At 37.8% G+C, this 21,284-nt stretch overlaps 1 protein-coding gene across 45 annotated transcripts in view, besides 1 other annotated feature; it reads left to right on the top strand.

Annotated features, from left to right (window-relative positions):
• Positions 1 to 21,284, top strand: part of TPK1 (thiamin pyrophosphokinase 1) — a 384,497-nt gene that overhangs the window by 199,640 nt on the left and 163,573 nt on the right. For all 45 annotated transcript variants that reach the window (NR_146934.1, NR_146935.1, NR_146936.2 and 42 more), the window contains one exon: positions 13,537 to 13,632. Coding sequence is in view for 40 of the 45 variants with exons in the window: in XM_005249970.2 (XP_005250027.1) it covers positions 13,537 to 13,632 (96 nt within the window). In the remaining 5 variants the exon portion in view is untranslated. The remainder of the gene's footprint in view (positions 1 to 13,536; positions 13,633 to 21,284) is intronic.
• Positions 17,049 to 17,578: an enhancer, noted in NCBI's record as "NANOG hESC enhancer chr7:144316313-144316842 (GRCh37/hg19 assembly coordinates)". NCBI's record gives its function as "activates a minimal SCP1, AML or CMV promoter by ChIP-STARR-seq in naive H9 embryonic stem cells {active_cell/tissue: H9 hESC(naive)}" and the evidence as "EXISTENCE:reporter gene assay evidence [ECO:0000049][PMID:30033119]".

Genomic DNA, 21,284 nt, shown 5'->3' with positions numbered 1-21,284 from the left:
TCCAATAGTAAAATTATTTGGTTAAAATAAATATTCACCATAAACCTTACTGTTTGATCCTCTTTCTTTTTAAAAAATGCATACATATACCACACTGAACATAAACCTATCCCTCAGATGATTGTGATTTTATTGTGATTAGGACCATATATTACAAGCATATATTTTATGTTTGCTATAGCTCTAGATGTTGGCAGTATGGGAAATTGAGCTGAACCCTGATCATTCCACGGCATGTTCCGAAAACTGTTTATTGTTAATTTTTTGCCAAGTTCCTAATACCAGTTTTTTTCCTTGTCATTTTTTTTTAAAAACAAGTTAAAACTTATTCAAACATATTCTGAATTTTTCCTGTAGTACTTTATACTACTGCATTTGTTAACCTCGATGTGCATGTATATTTCAATTTTCCTTACTGGATGTTAGTTTTGTTAACATTAATGTATTTTAAACTTTACTTAATTGCATATGAAATGCTAATTTTTGTTATTTTAAGAATCTGCATTAATTGTGTCCAAATAGAAAAGAGTTATTTAATTTCCTCAAGGCAGCATTAGTATATAGTGAGTAAAAAACAAGTGTTTCTTCTCTGTGTGAGACTCATTTTCTGGTTTATATGTGTTTATATTTATGAGAAAAATACCATTATTTTCATGAGGAGAGAAATGGTTTTAATTCAATCATCATTTGTCTAGCCACTGAACATCTATTGACTTATTGATATGTGCCCATAGTAACCTAGTGACTGAGAGTGCAGACGTCAGTTTCCCTGTATGCATGGAGTGTTGTGTTTACACTTTCTGCCTGAAGATCCTGTTTTCCACAAATAATAGACAAGATTTGCCAGACGAGAATTTTTGCTTGTGTATGCGTGAGATTGAGTTGTACCACTTTAATTTGTTCCATGAGTATCCCTTTGTAAAATACTACTTCTGTTTTAGTAAGTTTTTTGCCTCTTTCTGTTCTTCAGTCTCCTCAAACCTGATGAATGATCATGCTGACGATTAGGATTAAATTACCTTATTTGTAACTTTCTGCACCTTTAATATTTGCTTTCAAATTTTGTTTTTGGAGACCTTAGGGCATTCATCATTTTAATGTGAACTTGTGATATTTCCTTTATCATTGTGAATTATTTCAGATTGTTATTATTGAACTTGGTATTCAGCTTGTTATTATATCTTTTCAATTCAATTTTTATTATTTTTGTTATTACAGCCAAGTATAATGGAACATATCTTTATAATGTATTATTTATTAAAACTTTTTGGCAGGTCTCTAGTTTCATACTTAAGTCAAATGAAAGTTTAAGGAAAATTTACATGTGGAAGAAAATTTCTTTTTTATATTACCAGGTTGTTCCTAAATTCTGTCTTTTCCATGATGTATGTATGTGTGTGTACATACAAGTGTGTATTTATATATAAAATTTGCAATTTTGGTCCCTATTTTACTTAATTTACAGTTGTTTCTGGCTAATTTTCAATTATGCCCTAGGACCTTTTAGATAATACCAAGGATAAAACGCTTGCTAAGGTATTAATTCTCTGTGTTTTATGGTAAAATTATGTATGTCATTATAAACTCTTACCTTGTGCTGAAATGGCTGAAGAAGGTAGAACACTATTATAATGACAATACTTGATTAGCACAAATTCATTACCCAACCTGATAATGAGTTTGCTAATACCACGCCAACATATCATGTCTTTAGGGACCATGGCTTTCCCAATCTGTAGATCTATACACTTTTCAATGTTTATCTTCCCTTGGCCTCCCAATGTACATAGTCTTTAAGTTTTTGGATGTTAAATTCCTAGATACTGACCTGGCCATGGCAGGCAAGAACCTAAATATTTAATCTACCTAGTAGTAATTTTCATGTCTAAATGCAGATAAAACATTGAAATGGGCCAAGTGTGGTGGCTCATGCCTGTAATCCCAGCACTTTGGGAGGCTGAGGCGGGCGGATCACGAGGTCAAGCGATCAAAACCATCCTGGCCAAAATGGTGAAACCCCATCTCTACTAAAAATACAAAAATTAGCTGGGCATGGTGGCGTGCACCTGTAGTTCCAGCTACTCGGGAGGCGAGGCAGGAGAACTGCTTGAACCCGGGAGGTGGAGGTTGCAGTGAGCCAAGATCGTGCCATTGCACTCCAGCCTGGGTGACAGAGCCAGACTCCATCTCAAAAAAAATTAAATAAATAAACAAAACATTGAAATGAAAAAAGAAGTCATTTGTTAGGTGTCTTCTTTTTCAGCCCTACCATATAAATGAATATTTTCTTCATCTGTGGGAAGGCTGGTGGTAAGAACTGCTTATACTGCAAGCAATGAAAACAAATAGCTTTAACCACACAAAATAAAACAATTATTTATTCACATAACTGAAAAGGATAGAGGAGAATTCAGCTTCAATGAGGCTTGATGGGCTACCAAAACAGCCCCCAGGTACTGGTTTCTTGTTTCTTAACTCTTTGACCTGCACTGCCAGCTTCATTCTCAGGTGCCACATTGTGGATCTCTGGCTCTAGGCTGTCCTCTTGTGTTGTAGACTGGCTGCCATCTCAACATGTCTTTCTACTGAAGAGCAGAAATCTCTTGCAGGGTTGATGCACACACCCCAGCAATTCTTGTGCTCTCTTTGGCCCAAATTGTGGCATGTACTCATCTCCAAACAATTTGCAGTGGATAAGGGGATAAATTATGTCGATCATCTTTACCAGTCCTGATACCTCCAGAACTGAGTATCTAATTGTATACTTGAGAGAGGGTAAATAAATATTCAAAGAAAAGTCAGGTGCTAGTATCTCATAAAGAGGAGGAATGCATGCTGGGGATGTAGTATCTTTTTTTACTACATAGGAGTCCCCTTTTTCCACAGGGGATATGTTCCAAGATCCCTAGTGGGTGCCTGGTACCACAGATAGTACTAAACTCTATATACACTGTTTTCCTATGCATACATACTTTTGATAAAATTTAATTTGTAAATTAGTAAGAGATTAGCAGTAATAACTAGTAATAAAATAGAACATTGATAAGAACAGACTGAAATAAAAGTTATGTAAATGTGATTCTCTCTCAAAATATCTGATTGGATTATACTCACCTGTTTTTGGGCAGCTGTTGATTGTGGGTAACTGAAACCCTGGAGCTCAAAACCATGGAAAAGAGGGGACCACTGTACTTGTTCTGGTGAAGTGTTCATCCTAAGAACTTGAAGAAAATGGAAGAAATAAAAAGGACGCCATCTTCATATTACCATGACAAATTAATCTATTGCAAGTTTCCATTTTAGCTGGGACTATATGTTTTGTCTGTATGTTTTTAGCATTGATGTCAGAAAGGCTTGCAGTTGGGTGTATTTGTGAGGTGAGGTGGGGTACAGATCAATTCCAGTAGTCTCACTTTAACATACAGAGGAATGAAAAATGCCAATCAAAGGATATGACAAGTATTCACCTGTCACCTATTTGAGTTTAGCCTCAAAATATTTTATTAGCATTCATCTACTACAAGAATGTTAAACTAAACTGCTTGTTTAATTATTTTTAATTGGGAAAAGTCTTCTATTGATTAATTTAGGCTACCAAGAGATTGAGGTGCCAGTCCAGCTGAAAAGCATAGACTATATCTGATACGGTTTGGCTGGGTTCCCACCCAAAATCTCATCTTGAATTGAACCCCCATAATCCTTATAATCTGCACATGTCAACGGAGAAACCAGCTGGAGGTAATTGAATCATGGCAGTGGTTTCCTTCATGATGGTCTCCTAATAGTGAGTTCTCATGAGATCTGATGATTTAATAAGCGTGTGGCAGTTCCTCCTCCATTTGTTTTCCTTCCTGCCACCCTGTGTAGAAGGTGCCTTGTTTCCCCTTTGCCTTCTGCCATGATTGTAAGTTTCCTGAACTTACAGTGCTGAAGTGTGAGTCAGTTATGCCTCTTTCTTTTATAAATTATCCAGGCTCAGGCAGTTCTTTGTAGCAGTGTGAAAGTGGACTAATATATTTGCAGCTTTATAATTTTAGGAAATAACAAAATGTTCCTTTTGTCATTGTCAATAGTATTTTGTCACCAAGGTACAATATGTAAAACGTGTACTGCTATTCAAACATATGGCATGAGACATCTGCATTATAGCAAATATTCATTCATTTATTGAGTAAATATTTACTGAGTGCTTACTATGTGCTGTTTGAGGTACTCAGGATAAAACAGAAAACAAAACTGAGGATTAGCCCTGCCTCCTGGTATAAAGAGACAATAAATAATATGTAATGTGTTAGAAAGTGTTATTTCCTTTGGAGAAAACAGAAAATTCTGAGTAGGGTAAGGGCAGTCGGGACAGTCAAGATCAAGCTTGCTAGGGTTGGGCAGAGGGAAGTGCGTGAAGTCAAAGTTTTAAGTAGGGTAATCAGGGTGTGCCTCATTAAGAGGTGAAATTTTAACAAAGATTAGATGAAGGAAAGAAGTTATGAAGACCTTTTATATCTACATCTTATTTAAGTTCAACAGCTACTTTTTGATATGAATTGTATCCTCTCCATATTTCACTGAAGAATCATAAGAGGCTGGGGCAGTATAAAATTAGGGAGAGTTGGAAATTTTCTGGTTCGTGCAGATTTGGTAAACAATCGAATTGTAGAAAATGACAGCTCTTTGTGTGTGGTTGATACATATAAGTGAAATCTTCAGTTTATGTTGAGGATATATGGCATATTTGAGTGTGCTCCTGGCAGTTTGAGGGTTCTGAATTTCTAGGAGAGGGGAGTAGAGTTCGAGGTGGAAGCTGTTTTGACAGTATTTGCACAGCAAGCACATACAGTATGTACATAGCAACATACACGTAGTGTACTTTTTCTTGTGTGGTGGTGGTGGTGGTGGTCAGAGAGACTAGGAGTGGAGAAGCCCCAGCCACCTCTTGCCGTTGTTCCTTCTTTGAGAGATGATTCTATTTAATCAGCAATTAATGTGTTCTTCCTATACCTTTCATTCCTAATTATTTTTGCCTTTAATTTTTATATTTTTCATTTATTAGCTCATTGATTTAACAGATGTTAGATAACTAATATTTGTCTTTAGTGATTATCATCATTGAAGTCATAATATTTTACATTTATTTAATACCTTTATATCTCATAGCATATAGATTTGCATATATGTGTATATATAAAATTTTATGTGAATGATCTAGTGTAGAACCTTCAGGAAATATTTATAATTATTATTGCCATTTTTCTAAGTAAGTTATTATTTCTCATGAGTTCCAATCCATCTCATACTATAGGTTTCACAGCATGATTTATCTATTTTCTGAATCTTCATTACTTACAGGATACCATGTAAGAAAATAGTGTTTCTTTCCCTGCCTCTGTATATGATTATTTCTCATATACATGTAGCAGCTTTGAGAATAACAGCTTTGTTGATGAAACTAGAACCAATGGTATTTGAATTGTTTAAAAACTGCAGGAAAATCATTGTAAGTTCTTTGTCATTTTGACATAAATCATCTTGAAGAATTATTTTCTTGTAAAAATCACACTCTAATATTTGAAAACATTTATAATATTTAATGCTTTATGGCATTTTCTTAATAAAATATCTTGCTTTTGCAGACTGTTATTTTTTGATATATGTTCATTTAGTTTGGTTTTGGTCGAGAATATGCCTTGTCTTGTACTGATATTCAGATACCCACTGCTAATGTTTTGGTTAAGGACTCTGTTCCCACCTGTCCTAGTCAGTGTTGGGCTGAGATGTGGATGCAGCTGGGCAACACATGTTTATTACCTCTGTGAGTGTCTACTGAAGCTGAGAGGGATATTTTATATGTTACTGGGTATAAATCTGGATCCTAAATATCTCAGGATCAATGGAATGGAGATAAGAAAATGAAACACAGTTTTCTAATTTAAATGAAATGTATGACCTTTTCTATACAATCTTAAGAAGGTACTACTAAGACCAGTTACAAGACAGTACAGGGAGATATACTTGATACAATAATTTTATGGAATTTTAATAGAATTATTGAGATATGCAATGGGCTAGTTAGAAATTTCCTGTCACTGTAAATTTGTACCAGCTTAGTGTGAGGGATAAAGAAAGGACTCAATTTGATCATATACCAAATGTTTAATGTATGCTTACTGTGTATTATTCATTGTTCTAGGTACTGGGGATATCAAAGTAAATCAACACTGACCCCACTCCTTAGTAATAAGCACGAAATGACTTTAAAAATAGTATGAAATTATATTAGTCCATTCTCATGCTGATATGAAGGAATACCTGAGACTGGGTATAAAGGAAAGAGGTTTAATTGACTCACAGTTCCACATTGCTGGGGAGGACTCAGGAAACTTACAATCATGGCAGAAGGCCAAGAAGAAGCAAGCACCTTCTAAACAGGGTGGTATGATGGAGTGAGAGCAAACAGGGGAAATGCAAGACGCTTATAAAACCATCATATCTTATCAGATTTATTCACTATCACAAGAACAGCATGGGGGAGACTGCCACCATGATTCAATTACTTCCCACCAGGACCTTCCCACGACTTGTGGGGATTATGGGGTTTACAATTCAAGATGTGGTTTAGGTGGTGACACAACCAAACCATATCATGCTGGCCCTGGCTCCTCCCATATCTCATGTCCTCACATTTCAAAACACAATCATTCCTTCCCAAGAGTCCCCCCAAAGTCTTAACTCATTCCCACATGAACTCAAAAGTCCAAGTCCAAATCTGAGATAAGGCAAGTCCCTTCTGCTTATGAACATGTAAAATCAAAAGCAAGTTAGTTACTTACTAGTGAGTAAATATACACATTCCAAATGGGAGAAATTGGCCAAAAAACAATGGGGCTACAGGCCCTATGCAAGTCTAAAATCCAATAAGGCAGTCATTAAACCTTAAAGTTCCAAAATGATCTACTTTGACCCCATGTCTCATGTCCAGGTCATGCTGATGCAAGAGGTCAGTTCTCACAGCCTTGGGCAGCTCCACCCCTGTGGCTTTGCAGGGTACAGACTAGCCTCACTCTTGGCTGCTTTCACAGGCTGGCATTGAGTGCTTGCAGCTTTTCCAGGTGGAAGTGCAAGCTGTTGCTGGGTCTACCATTCTGGGGTATAGAGAATGGTGGCCCTCCTCTCACAGCTCTACTAGGCAGTGCCCCAGTCAGAACTCTGTGTGTGGGCTCTGACTCCACATTTCCCCTCTGCACTGCCCTAGCAGAGGTTCTCCATGAGGGCTCTGCCCCTGTAGCAAACTTCTGCCTGGACATTCAGGCATTTCTGTACATCTTCTGAAATCTTGGTTAGAGGTTCCCAAACCTCACTTCTTGATTTCTGTGCACTTTCACGCCCAACACCATTAGTAAGCTGCCAAGGCTTGGGGCTTGGACCCTCTGAGGCAATGGCCCGAGCTTTATCATGTCCCCTTTTAGCCACAGCTGGGACTGAAGCAGCTAGGATACAGGCACGATATCCCGAGGCTGCACAGAGCAGGGGAACCCTGGGCGCAGCACATGAAACAATTTTTTTCCTCCTAGGCCACTGGGCCTGTGTTGGGAGGGGCTGCTGTGAAGGTCTCTGACATTCCCTGGAGATATTTTCCTCATTGTCTTTGGATTAACATTCCATTCTTTGTTACTTATGCAAATTTCTGCAGCGACTTGAATTTCTCCTCCAGAAAATGTGTTTCTCTTTTCTATCGCATCATCAGGCTGTGAATTTTCCAAATTTTTATGCTCTGCTTACTCTTCAATGCTTTAATGCTTAGAAGTTTCTTCTGCCAGATATCCTAAGTCATCTCTCTCAAGTTCAAAGTTCCACGTATTTCTGTGACAGGGGCAAAATGCCGCCAGTCTCTTTGCTAAAGCATAGCAAGAGTCACCTTTGCTCCAGTTCCCAAGAAGTTCCTCATCTCCATCTGAGACCACCTCAGCCTGGACTACATTGTTCATATCACTATCAGCATTTTGGTCAAAGCCATTCAACAAGTCTTTAGGAAGTTCTAAACTTCCCCACATCTTCCTGTCTTCTTAACCCTCCAAGTCTCTAGGAAGTTCTAAACTTTCACACACTTCCCTGTCTTCTGCGTCCTCCAAATGGTTCCAACCTCTGTCTGTTACCCAGTTCCAAAGTTGCTTCTTCATTTTCAGGCATATTTACAGCAGCACCCTTCTCCTGGTACTTACTGTATTATTGTTCTCACACTGCTATGAAGAAATACCAAAGTCTGGGTAATTTATAAAAGAAAGAGCTTTAATTGATTCACAGTTTTGTGTTGCTGGGGAGGCCTCAGGAAACTTAGAATCGTAGCAGATGGCAAAGGATAAACAGGAACTTTCTTCATAGGGAGGCGAGATGGAGTAAGTGCAAGCAGGGGAAATGTCAGATGCTTATAAAACCATCAGATCTCATGAGACTCACTCAGTATCATGAGTCAACAGAATGGAGGAAACTGCTCCCAAGATTCAATAACTTCCCACCTGGTCCCTCCCACAATACTTGGGGATTATGGGAACTACAATTCAAGATGAGGACACAGCCAAGCCATATCAGAAATGTTTAAGATATGTACAAGTATAAAAAATAATAAACCAAATACTTTTGTAACCACAACCCAACTTAATAAATGCTACCTATACAGTTCAAGACTTCTGTGGCCCTTTCTTATGGTTAAATCTAAAAATTTTTATTCTCTTACATTTGTTAATACTTTAACAAAAGCAACACTAAATCCTATGTAAAGGTAATAAGCATGTTTTTACATTGTGTGTATATATGCAGTTATACTGCCTGTGTGATTCTGTAACTCATGAATGTATCATACATTTATTCTTCTATTATTTTTGTTGTTGTTCATTCATTTTTGTCATAGAATAACCCAGTGTTTAAATACGCCACAAGTTTTTTTGTTAATGTAAGGTACGACAAGTGTATATCAGTGATTTTTATTTGGGCTTATCTGATTACTGGTGAAAATCAACATCCTTTCATGTGTATTGGCTTTTTCTGTTTTGCTAGTCTTTAACTTGCCTATTAAAATATTTTGTGTATTTGCTTTCATGGCTCACTGCAGCCTCGACCTCCTGGGCCCAAGCAATTCTCCCACCTCAGCCTTCCAAAGTGTGCACCACCATGTTTGGCTAATTTTTTTTGTAGTGATGGGCTTTTGCTGTGTTACCGAGGCTTGTCTCCATTTTCTGCGCTCAAGCAATCCTACAGGTCTATTTGCTTTTTCATGTGTATTGGTGATATGGTTTGACTGTGTCCCCACCAAAATCTCATTTGGAATTCTCACGGGTTGTGGGAGGGACCTGGTGGGAGGTAATTAAATCATGGGGGGCAGGTCTTTCTTGTGCTGTTCTCGTGGTAGTGAATAAGTCTCATGAAATCTGATGGTTTTAAAAAGGGGAGTTTTCCTGAACAAGCTCTCTTTGCCTGCTGCCATCCACGTAGGATGTGGCTTGGTCCTCCTTTCCTTCTGCCATGATTATGAAGCCTCCCCAGCCACGTGGAACTGTAACTCCCATTAAACCTATTTCTTTTGTAAATTGCCCAGTCTTGGGTATGGCTTTATCAGCAGCATGAAAATAGATTAATACAATTGGCTTTTTCAGGTTTGCTGTTCTTTAACTTGCCTATTAAAATATTTTGCCTGTTTTTCCATCCAGTTATTCATTCTTTATAGATTTTTACAAATTCTTTATGTATTCTGGATAGTAACCTTTTGTTTTTAGTTATATTCGTGGAAAATACCTTCTTTCATTTTGAAGCTTTCTTTTTTTACTTTATGCATATTGTTTATTGATGAAAGAAGGGTCTTAGTTAAAAGTAGCTGAATTTATCAGTTCTTTCTCTTCAGATTTATATTTATTTTCGCACCTTGTTTAAAATACTACCTACTGCAATCATTTTCTTTTCTGTTGTTTTTTGTAAATGTTTGGAGACTTTGCTAGTACGTTTTCAAATATGCATCTGTATATATTTCTGTCTTCCCAATTCTGTTCAGGTATCTATTTACCAACCATATGGCACAAAGAACACTTTCTTTGTGCCAGTCACTGTTCTAGTTCCTAGAAGACAGCTGTGAATCACACAAGCAAATACCTGTGCTTCCGTGGTGCTGATATTCTACTGTTTCATTTTGCCAGTACCCTGTTGTGTTAATTACTTTGTATATCTGAATATCCCGAAAGGCAAGTTCAACTACCGTGTCCTTTTGCAAAATTGCGTTTGCTTTTTTTTGGTCCCTTATTCTTTCATGTAAATCATAATCGTTTGTTTGAGTTCCACGAAAAATATCATTGACTCAATAGATAACTTTTCTTATCTTTCTGTCCCTCTGAGTCTTTGATACTCTTTCCATGTATATGTGAAAAATTATATTTTAAGACTAATTAGCCAGGTGTGGTGGCTCACATCTATAATCCCAGCACTGTGGGGGGCCAAGGCTGTAGGATTGCTTGAGCCCAGGGATTTGAGACCAGCCTGGGTAACATGGCAAAACCCCATCACAAATTAGCTGAGCATGGTGGTGCACGCCTGTAGTCCCAGCTACTTGGGAGGCTGAGATGGGAGGATTGCTTGAGTCCAGAAGGTGAAGGCTGCAGCGAGCTGTGATTGTGCCATTGCACTCCATCCTGTAGGACAGAGGGAGACCCTGTCTCAAAAAGAAAAAACCAAAAAAGCAAAAGTATAATCTGAAAAATGGAGCCACTTGTTGGTTCATAACATCATACATTGTATCCTAAAAACAATATATTTTATGTAACTGAGAAAAAAAATCAAAGATAGAAGTAGTTGAAACAAAAATTCCCACTCACTGGCATCATAAGTCTATGTTTTGTACCTTTCTATTAGGAAACTAACATTACAAACAACTTATTAGAAAGTCATATACTTTCTTACTTTGCTAAATTTCATGGCTTTAATATCTTCTCAGTCCTTAGTGAATATGAGGGTTGTCTTTTTTTTTAAGAAAATATCATATCAGTGGAATTTTTCACAGCACCTCAGTGCTTCTGATGCTAGGAAATTGGGCTTTATTCTATATAAAAATAATCATAAATATTAATATATAGTAGGTGAGTATTGCTTGATACCTTATAGTATTTCTACATTATTCCTTGTTTGCAGGGTCTTAGTAGTTTCTCATCTTTACCTTTCTGTTTCTCCTCTCTTAGATCTTAGTATGTTACCCTAAGACCCAGAAAACAGTGAACACATCCTTAGTTGGCCACAGGCCTGTTATTGCACTTTGGTTAAGATTTTGTTTCTCGGGTCTCCTTTCTAACTGTCGGACGCTGCCCTGTTATTAGAGCTATTTCCACTTCTAGTGAGTTCATTCTCAGTCTGTAATGAGATTAGAACCATTTCACCTTGTGAATGGCTGCTGTTTGGCAGTTAAACACCTTCAACGAGTTTAATAGACGTTCTTGGTTTAGATTCAGTCTGATTTTCTCAGTGCTAATAATCTCTCTCCGTGTCCTGAGCCAAGCATTTCTATGTGTTTATTGTAAATGATGAGGTAAAGTAAGATATTCCGGCCTTGCTCATATGTTTCAAGTAGCTTTTCTTTTTATAGTATCCTTTTTGTGAAACTAACTCTAGAGATGTCATCTGACATTTTTCAATCAGCTATCTCAGAACTTTTGTTTTACTTTGTGAGAGTAAAGAAATAGGATTTCTACTCATGGCTTTTCTGCTAATTACTACCTAGCTGTCCAGTTGTCAGCCAGTCAATTTTTATCTCTTGTTTTTATTTTCTTAATCTACAAAATGTTGCGATAGTACTAGATAGATTACTTCCTGGGTTTTGTTTAACTGTCTTTTTCCCAATGGCTTTCTATATGGATTCTGTGAAGGTAGATAGTGATCTATTAATCGTCCATTATGTTGTAGTTTCTATTTGCCATTTAAATTTTATTTCCTTTTTGGTGAGTATGTCTATTTTTAACATTTAAAAGAGGAAGACAACTTTCGTTGTCATTTATGGTATATTTAGCAATAAGATACTGCACGATTGTACCCCCTAGCCAGTGTACATTTTTATAAGTGTATTTGTAAAAATCCATTTTCTTCCTCAAGAATATTATTTAAACATTTATTGAACATTTACTATGCAACAAACTGGTGCCTGGCACTGGAAACAATAATGAATGAACCTGCCCTTGAGGAACTTTCAGTGTAATGATTTTTGGTTTGGTGGCAGTCTGTTCTGTTCAACCATGCTAATATTCCTGTATGCCCTGCCATATGCTTCTATCTTCCTTTTTAGGAGTGTTAACCTGAGAAGGGTCACTTCTTTATGTCCTTGCTTGGTGATTATAGTAAATGTCAATGTTCTTTTAGGGTCGAGAAAGTATATGTCGATGATCTTGTAAAGATGACATATACATCTTTTAGAGCATAATGTATTTCTGAATGATGAGAAGTTAATTTTTTCATTGGTCACTATATTGTAGGACAGTCATAAATGAATGAAGCACAGGTTGAGCTTGACACAATTAAAGAGACCTTGAAGTAAAAGAAGAACCTTTAAATCTACCGAGAATGGTTCTTAGAATAATTTAAGAGGCAGTATGGGTGTTTTGTATCCTTGAAAACTCTTTGAATGGCAACTTTATATACTAGATTATATTTAACTTTCCCTTACTCAGCTGTTTGTCAGAGTCCAAGAATTGTTTTATTCCTGAATTAAGAAGTCTGAAGTCCCATCGTGCTCACTTTTATGTACCTTTGCCTCTGTATGACATTGGAGGAAAAGGTGTCATTTCAAAAATACGGTCTCTTTAGCCATCCAAGTTCACTAGTGCCAACAAACTGGCACTTTTGTGGCTTCATACTTATAAATATATTGCAGTGTTTTTCACTGGGTAAGTTATCTTGTAGAGAAGGCAAAGAACTTATAAATTCATTTCATGATGTCCAAAAGATAATCCAGGAGACATATTTACACAGGCATAGCTCCTTGTTCTGTGTCTCACAAGGGAGAAAGAGGCTTTTATCAAATAATATTATAGGACAGCTGTCTTGGTTTTACTTAAAATGTAAACTTTTATTATTACTTCAATATTCAGATTAGTTTTTTCATTCATGTAAACTTGTCATTTCTGCTTAAAGAACTTCAAAGTTTCATCAAAATAGTTTCATTTCAATTTCAGGTAGTTGAGAATATAATTTATTATACATGTATCAAAGTCCTTATGTTAATCGTGAATGTCATCACATAAGTATTTTTTAAAGACCCATTAATGTAGTATAATCTATACTTTCTTAAATAAAACGATTGTCATAATCAGTCCATTATTGTAACACTCTAATACCATTCCTGAAATGTCCCATGATGTGAAATAAAAAAGATAATGATAATGATTCTAATGATACAGGAATAGTAAAGGCATAATAGGATATGTCTATTGATACCTTATCTTTACTTTTGTAACTCTTGATCTTGTTCATAAAGGTGAATTTACTACTTATTCTTACCTTTTCTTTTACTTTAATACATAGGGATGTGAGCTCATTTCAACTCCTGATCAAGACCACACTGACTTTACTAAGTGCCTTAAAATGCTCCAAAAGAAGATAGAAGAAAAAGACTTAAAGGTAATATATACATGTATTTGGTGGTTATTCCAAGGATGTGAAAACAATTTGTGTTTATTTTTTCACTCAGCTGAAATGGATATTTACTTTTGTGCTTTTTCTTTTTTTTTAAATTGCTGTCAGGTTTTTTTTCCCCTGTAGAGCAGATAAGTCTGCACTTAGCTGCCAAAACATTAACATGTGCACTTAAACCAGGGAACACAAATGTAAACATCTTACAGTGGCATGGTAATAAAATGGGTGAACTGGACCGTGTGTCAAGTAATCAAAACTGGGAACTCATTCTTGCCTGAAAGCGACTAGCTACTATTCGTCTCTAGTTGATTGTTGCCATGAAGAGCTATATGTATTTTTGGACTGTGTCTATTTACATATTATATAGGCAAAACAAATATGGCCTTGATTTGGCCCCTGGGCTATCATTGCAAATTTTTATTTAAACGAATATCAGCTTTTTTTAAGCCAGAGAAGAGTCTACTGCTTTGCATTCTGTGCTCTTTAAGGTATTCAGTACTGATTTTCACCTAGCATCCAAATGTTTAATTGCATTAATTAGTACACCAGTTTATACTTTATTGTTTGATACCTGTTGAAATGGTATGCAAAGTTTCTTAAGACTGTGTTTAATGAACAGCTACAAAATTAAACCTGAAGCAATGAATGACAATTGACCTTTTTTTCCCCCACTAGCAGGGGCAATAAGTTTTAAGCTGAGATGAATGATCAGTTGTGTAATTTTAAACCAAGAAAAGTAGGAAAACACCCTTGTATATTAGAACGATTTTGATAGTACAAGTAACAGAAAACACATGTCAACCTGCTCTCAATAACCAAGTGATGTAGGGCAGTCTTGAGACAGAGCTTAATCAGAACTCATGCCCTTTTTCTTTTATTTATCTTGGCTTCACTTTGTAGGTTTTGTCTTCACACTAGCTTCCTTGATTGTCTCCAACTGCCACCTGCAGTAACATTTTACCCTTCACATGTAGGGGGATTAAGACATAGAGCTGGTGAGATACATCACTTCCCACCATCATTGGACTTAACCCTTAAGATCTCTCCATTAAACCACTCTTGCTTTTGGCAAAGGAGAACGAGAGAATCCTGATTGTCTTGGGCTGGAGCCAGGTGTGGGATCAATCCACGTGGCTTATATATTCAAACTACGTGGCTAAAACATATTTGGCAGGATGGGATAGATATCAGAGTGGCAGCTCTAACAAAAATTTACTCTCTAGCAAAAGTTTGTTAAAGATACACTGTAGCATATATTTACTAAGTTGCAGTTAGTAGTAAATTCTTTTCTCCCTTTGAAATAAAACCTTGCTAACTATCACAATTGGCAAGTAGCTCAATCTGCGAACTCAAACAAAAATAATTGAGTGAACATTTCTCATCTCTGATGTAGCTTTGCTGATCTATATCAAATGTATTGTGATATTTCCAGCAGTAAATTGATATAATTAAGTATTTGTTTAATGAAAGCAGGAAACAGCAAATTGAGAGTTACTTATTTCATCCAGATATCAGTGATTTGGTGTTTCTTTGGAAAAACAGTGTAAATATTCACAGCTGTCTTTTGTTTTTCCCATCACCTCCACTGACATGATTAAAAGCTAAGACGCAATTATGTGAGTCTAATGAGTTGTGTCTAATCGATAGTATCAGTAATACAGTATTCTGTCGTTGAGGCTTGAAACAAATCATCATATCTTAAACTCAACAAGGCCCAGATCTAGAGAGAGCCCCAAACTGAGAGAGGAGGGTATGATCTGCAAACAAATCTGACAGTCTTGGCCAATCTGGTGGGGACTCTGGAAGCAAGAGTAGCTGTTAGAGGGCCCCTGCACTGGGCAGAAATAGCAACAACCTTGTACTCCAACTGTGCTTAGTCACAGACTAGAGGGTGCTCATGAGGAGGGTGGACTTGGCTTAGAGGTTGCCAAGGAAGAGTACAGACTTGGTGGCTGTGATGTGCTGCCTCCTGAAGGGGTTGCAGCGGGGGCTGATGACGGATGACTGGCCTCCACACAGCCTAACAGTGAGTTCTTTTTTGAAGAGCAATGCAGTGGTACACTGCCTGTGCTGCCTCAGGCCCCAACATGCTTTGGACCCAATGCATTCTCCAGCCCCATCCTACACCAGTGTTTCTCCTTGTTCTTAAACTATGCCGCATTTTCTCCTCCCTCCTACTTTAATGTGTTTTTATATATGTTGCCCCCTCTGCTTGGAATCTTATTTTTCCTTTTCTTTGTCTAGACCATGCATGCTAGAGGGCTTCTTTTTCTTTTTTTTTTTTTTTCAGGTCTGATACATTTATTTATTTTTATATATTTTTTATTTCAATGGGTTTTGGGGTACATGTGGTTTTTGGTTACATGGATGAATTGTACATTATTGAAGTCCGAGAGTTGAGTGCACCTGTTACCCCAGTGTAGTGTACATTGTACCCAATAGGTAGTTTTTCATCCCTCAACCCCCTCCCACCCTCTCCTCTTCTGAGTCTTCTGTGTCCATTGTATCACTATGCCTTTGCACACTCTTAGGTTAGCTCCCACTTATAAGTGAGAAAATGCAGTATTTGGTTTTCCATTTCTGAGTTACTTCACTTAGAATAGTGGGCATGGCAGAGTTTGACTGGCTGTCCTTAACTATCACTCTAGGTTAGGTTTAGTTACTCTACATTTCCATACCCTCCTTTATTTTTTCTTTAGGGTATTCTGAACAATTTTGATCATTTTACTAATTGTTTCTAATTGTTTGCCTAAAGTCATTCTTGCCAGCTTGACTGTACAGCCCATGAAGCTGAGCTCAGGTTTGCTTGTTCATAACTTGACAGCAGTATTTTGCATAAAAGAAGTATTCCTTGAAAGTTTGGTACGTTTTATGCACCACAAGAACACACAGGAGAGTGGAACATAACACAGTTAGGAGAAGGCTTTTTAGAGAAGGCTGAGACATAGTAAGCAAATAGGAGGTAGACAGTGCATTAGTCCATTTTGCATTGCTATAAAGGAATACCTGAGGCTGGGTAATTTATAAAGGTAAGAGTTGTATTTGGTGTATGCCTATGCTGGCTGTACGAGCATGGCATCAGAATCTATTTGGCTTCTCATGACCCCTCAGGAAGCTTTTACTCATGGCAAAAGGTGAAGGGGCAGCAGGCCTGTCACATGGCAAGAAGGGAGCGAGAAAGATGACAGGCTCTTCGTAAGAACCAGTTCTCTTGGCCCAGCATGGTGGCTCACACCTATAATCCCAGCACTTTGGGAGGTTGTGGTGGGCAGATCACGAGGTCAGGAGATCGAGACCATCCTGGCTAACATGGTGAAACCCCATCTCTACTAAAAATAAAAAAATTAGCTGGGGTGATGGCACACACCTGTAGTCCCAGCTACTTGGGAGGCTGAGGAGGGAGAATCACTTGAACCCAGGAGGCAGAGTGCCGGGTCCAACCCGCAGACCCTGACCCAGCAACAGATGAAAGACATACACTGACACAGGTATTTTGCCTGTCAGTGGGACTAAGGGGCTCTGACGCCTGAGTCTGCAGCTTTCGCCTCCATAAAATGGCAAAGTTTGCGTTTATTTAGTACAAATTAAATGACAAAGTTCTCAAGTAAACACCACTAGAGGGTAATTTACATTGTTGATCTCCTGAGTAGAGAGCAGTCATGAGCCCACAGATGATCAAAGGTTGGTCTTAGGACCACATGAGTAAAAAAGCTATTTAGATAAACTCCTTTACATTCCTATGTATCTTTGCCCTAAGCTTTTAAGAGAATTCAGTTGCCTTCAGCCAAATCCTTCACTGAAGCTATGCAAACCCACTGGCCTTCCAAGAAGGTTTGTGTCTGTTTCCTATAACTTTATAATCTCCCACCACCCTGACCGATATCCTATAGCGGAGGTTGCAGTGAGCTGAGATCGCACCACTGCCCTCCAGCCTGGGCAACAGAGCAAGACTCCACCTCAGAAAAAAAAAAAAAAAAAAGAACCAGTTCTCTTGTGAACTAATAGAGTGAGAACTTACTCATTAGCACAAAGGTGGCACTAAGCTATTCATGAGGGATCCACCCCCATGTCCCAAACACCTCCCACCAGGCTCCACTGCAGAAATTGGGGATCACATTTCAACATGAGATTTGGAGGGGACAAACATCCAGACTATATCAGACAGCAAAGGGGAGAAGAGTGTTTCAGGAAGTACTGTAGTGCACACAGAGTGTGTATAGCACTTTGTAGGAGTGGGCACAACTCCTATCTCCATCCTCGTAGGGTCCTGACTGGGCCTTGAGAATTAAATTGACCTGAGATAGATTAACAAGAACAAAGCATAAAATTTTATTTCATACAAATTTTACATGGCATGGGAGCCCACATAAAGAAGTGAAGACCCAGAGAAGTACTTAAAGCCTGTTGCTTTATATACTACATTGGACAAAGAATAGTACATTGTGAAGAAGCATCTAACTTACTTGCAGAGGCTTGAAAGATAAGAGTTATTTTATTGTATTTTTTATTTTTGTTTTTTTTTTATACTTTAAGTTCTAGGGTACATGTGCACAATGTGCAGGTTTGTTACATATGTATAGTTGTGCCATGTTGGTGCACTGCACCCATTAACTCGTCATTTACATTAGGTATATCTCCTAATGCTATCCCTCCCCACTACCCCCACCCCACGACAGGCCCCGGTGTGTGGTGTTCCCCACCCTGTGTCCAAGTGTTCTCATTGTTCAATTCCCACCTATGAGTAAGAACATGCGGTGTTTGGTTTTCTGTCCTTGGGATAGTTTGCTCAGAATGATGGTTTCCAGCTTTATCCATGTCCCTACAAAGGACATGAACTCATCCTTTTCTATGGCTGCATAGTATTCCATGGTGTATATGTGCTACATTTTCTTAATCTAGTCTATCACTGATGGACATTTGGGTTGGTTCCAAGTCTTTGCTATTGTGAATAGTGCCGCAATAAACATACGTGTGCATGTGTCTTGATAGCAGCATGATTTATAATCCTTTATACTCAGTAATGGGATGACTGGGTCAAATGGTATTTCTAGTTCTAGATTCTTGAGGAATCGCCACACTGTCTTCCACACTGGTTGAACTAGTTTACAGTCCCACCAGCAGTGTAAAAGTGTTCCTATTTCTCCACATCCTCTCCAGTACCTGTTGTTTCCTCACTTTTTAATGATTGCCATTCTAACTGGTGTGAGATGGTCTCTCATTGTGGTCTTGATTTGCATTTCTCTGATGGCCAGTGATGATGAGCATTTTTTCATCTGTCTGTTAGCTGCATAAATGTCTTCTTATGAGAAGTGTCTGTTCATATCCTTTGCCCACTTGTTGATGGGTTGTTTGATTTTTTTCTTGTAAATTTGTTTAAGTTCTTTGTAGATTCTGGATATTAGCCCTTTGTCAGATGGGTAGATTGCAAAAATTTTCTGCCATTCCGTAGGTTGCCTGTTTGCTCTGATGGTAGTTTCTTTTGCTGTGCAGAAGCTCTTTAGTTTAATTAGATCCCATTTGTCAATTTTGGCTTTTGTTGCCATTGCTTTTGGTGTTTTAGACATGAAGTCCTTGCCCATGCCTATGTCCTGAATGGCAATGCCTAGGTTTTCTTCTAGGGTTTTTATGGTTTTAGGTCTGACATTTAAGTCTTTAATCCATCTCGAATTAATTTTTGTATAAGATGTAAGTAAGGGATCCAGTTTCAGCTTTCTACATATGGCTAGCCAGTTTTCCTAGCAGCATTTATTAAATAGGGAATCCTTTACCTATTGCTTGTTTTTGTCAGGTTTATCAAAGATCAGATGGTTGTAGATGTGTGGTATTATTTCTGAGGGCTCTGTTCTGTTCCATTGGTCTATATCTCCGTTTTGGTACCAGTACCATGCTGTTTTGATTATTGTAGCCTTGTAGTGTAGTTTGAAGTCAGATAGCATGATGCCTCCAGCTTTGTTCTTTTGGCTTAGGATTGTCTTGGCAATGCAGGCTCTTTTTTGGTTCCATATGAACTTTAAAGTAGTTTTTTCCAATTCTGTGAAGAAAGTCATTGGTAGCTTGATGGGGATGGCATTGAATCTACAAATTACCTTGGACAGTATGGCCATTTTCACGATATTGATTCTTCCTATCCATGAGCATGGAATGTTGTTCCATTTCTTTTTGTCCTCTTTTATTTCATTGAGCAGTGGTTTGTAGTTCTCCTTGAAGAGGTCCTTCACATCCCTTGTAAGTTGGATTCCTAGGTATTTTATTTTCTTTGAAGCAATTATGAATGGGAGTTCACACATGATTTGGCTCTCTGTTTGTCTGTTATTGGTGTATAGGAATGCTTGTGATTTTTGCACATTGATTTTGTATCCTGAGACTTTGCTGAGGTTGCTTATCAGCTTAAGGAGATTTTGGGCTGAGATGATGGGGTTTTCTAAATATACAATCATGTCATCTGCAAACAGGGACAATTTGACTTCCTCTTTTCCTAATTGAATACCTTTTATTTCTTTCTCCTGCCTAATTGCCCTGGCCAGAACTTCCATCACTATGTTGAATAGGAGTGGTGAGAGAAGGCATCCATGTCTTGGGCCAGTTTTCAAAGGGAATGCTTCCAGTGTTTGCCCATTCAGTATGATATTGGCTGTGGGTTTGTCATAAATAGCTCTTATTATTTTGAGATATGTCCCATCAATACCTAATTTATTGAGAGTTTTTAGCATGAAGCGCTGTTGAATTTTGTCAAAGGCCTTTTCTGCATCTATTGAGATAATCATGTGGTTTTTGTCTTTGGTTCTGTTTATATGATGGCTTATGTTTATTGATTTGCATATGTTGAAGCAGCCTTGCATCCCAGGGATGAAGCCAACTTGATCATGGTGGATAAGCTTTTTGATGTGCTGCTGGATTCAGTTTGCCAATGTTTTATTGAGGATTTTTGCATCGATGTTCATCAGGGAGATTGGTCTAAAATTATCTTTTTTTTTGTTGTGTCTCTGCCAGGCTTTGGTATCAGGATGATGCTGGCCTCATAAAATGAGTTAGGGAGGATTCCCTCTTTTTCTGTTGATTGGAATAGTTTCAGAAGGAACGGTACTAGCTCCTCTTTGTACCTCTGGTAGAAATTGGCTGTGAATACATCTGGTCCTGGACTTTTTTTGGTTGGTAGGCTCTTAATTATTGCCTCAATTTCAGAGCCTGTTATTGGTCTATTCAGGGATTCAACTTCTTCCTAGTTTAGTCTTGGGAGTGTCTATGTGTCCAGGAATTTATCCATTTCTTCTAGATTTTCTAGTTTATTTGCGTAGAGGTGTTTATAGTATTCTCTGATGGCAGTTTGTATCTCTGTGGGATCGGTGGTGATATCCCCTTTATCATTTTTTATTGCGTCTATTTGATTCTTCTGTCTTTTCTTCTTTATTAGTCTTGCTAGCGGTCTATCAATTTTGTCGATCTTTTCAAAAAACCAGCTCCTGCATTCATGATTTTTTGAAGGGTTTTTTTGTGTCTCTATTTCCTTCAGTTCTGCTCTGATCTTAGTTATTTCTTGCCTTCTGCTAGCTTTTGAATGTGTTTACTCTTGCTTCTCTAGATCTTTTAATTGTGATGTTAGGGTGTCAATTTTAGATCTTTCTTGCTTTCTCTGAAGC

Source organism: Homo sapiens, chromosome 7 (genome assembly GCF_000001405.40).
Source record: "Homo sapiens chromosome 7, GRCh38.p14 Primary Assembly".
NCBI classification, from domain to species: Eukaryota; Metazoa; Chordata; class Mammalia; order Primates; family Hominidae; genus Homo; species Homo sapiens.
This window is presented reverse-complemented; position numbering and strand designations above follow the sequence as displayed.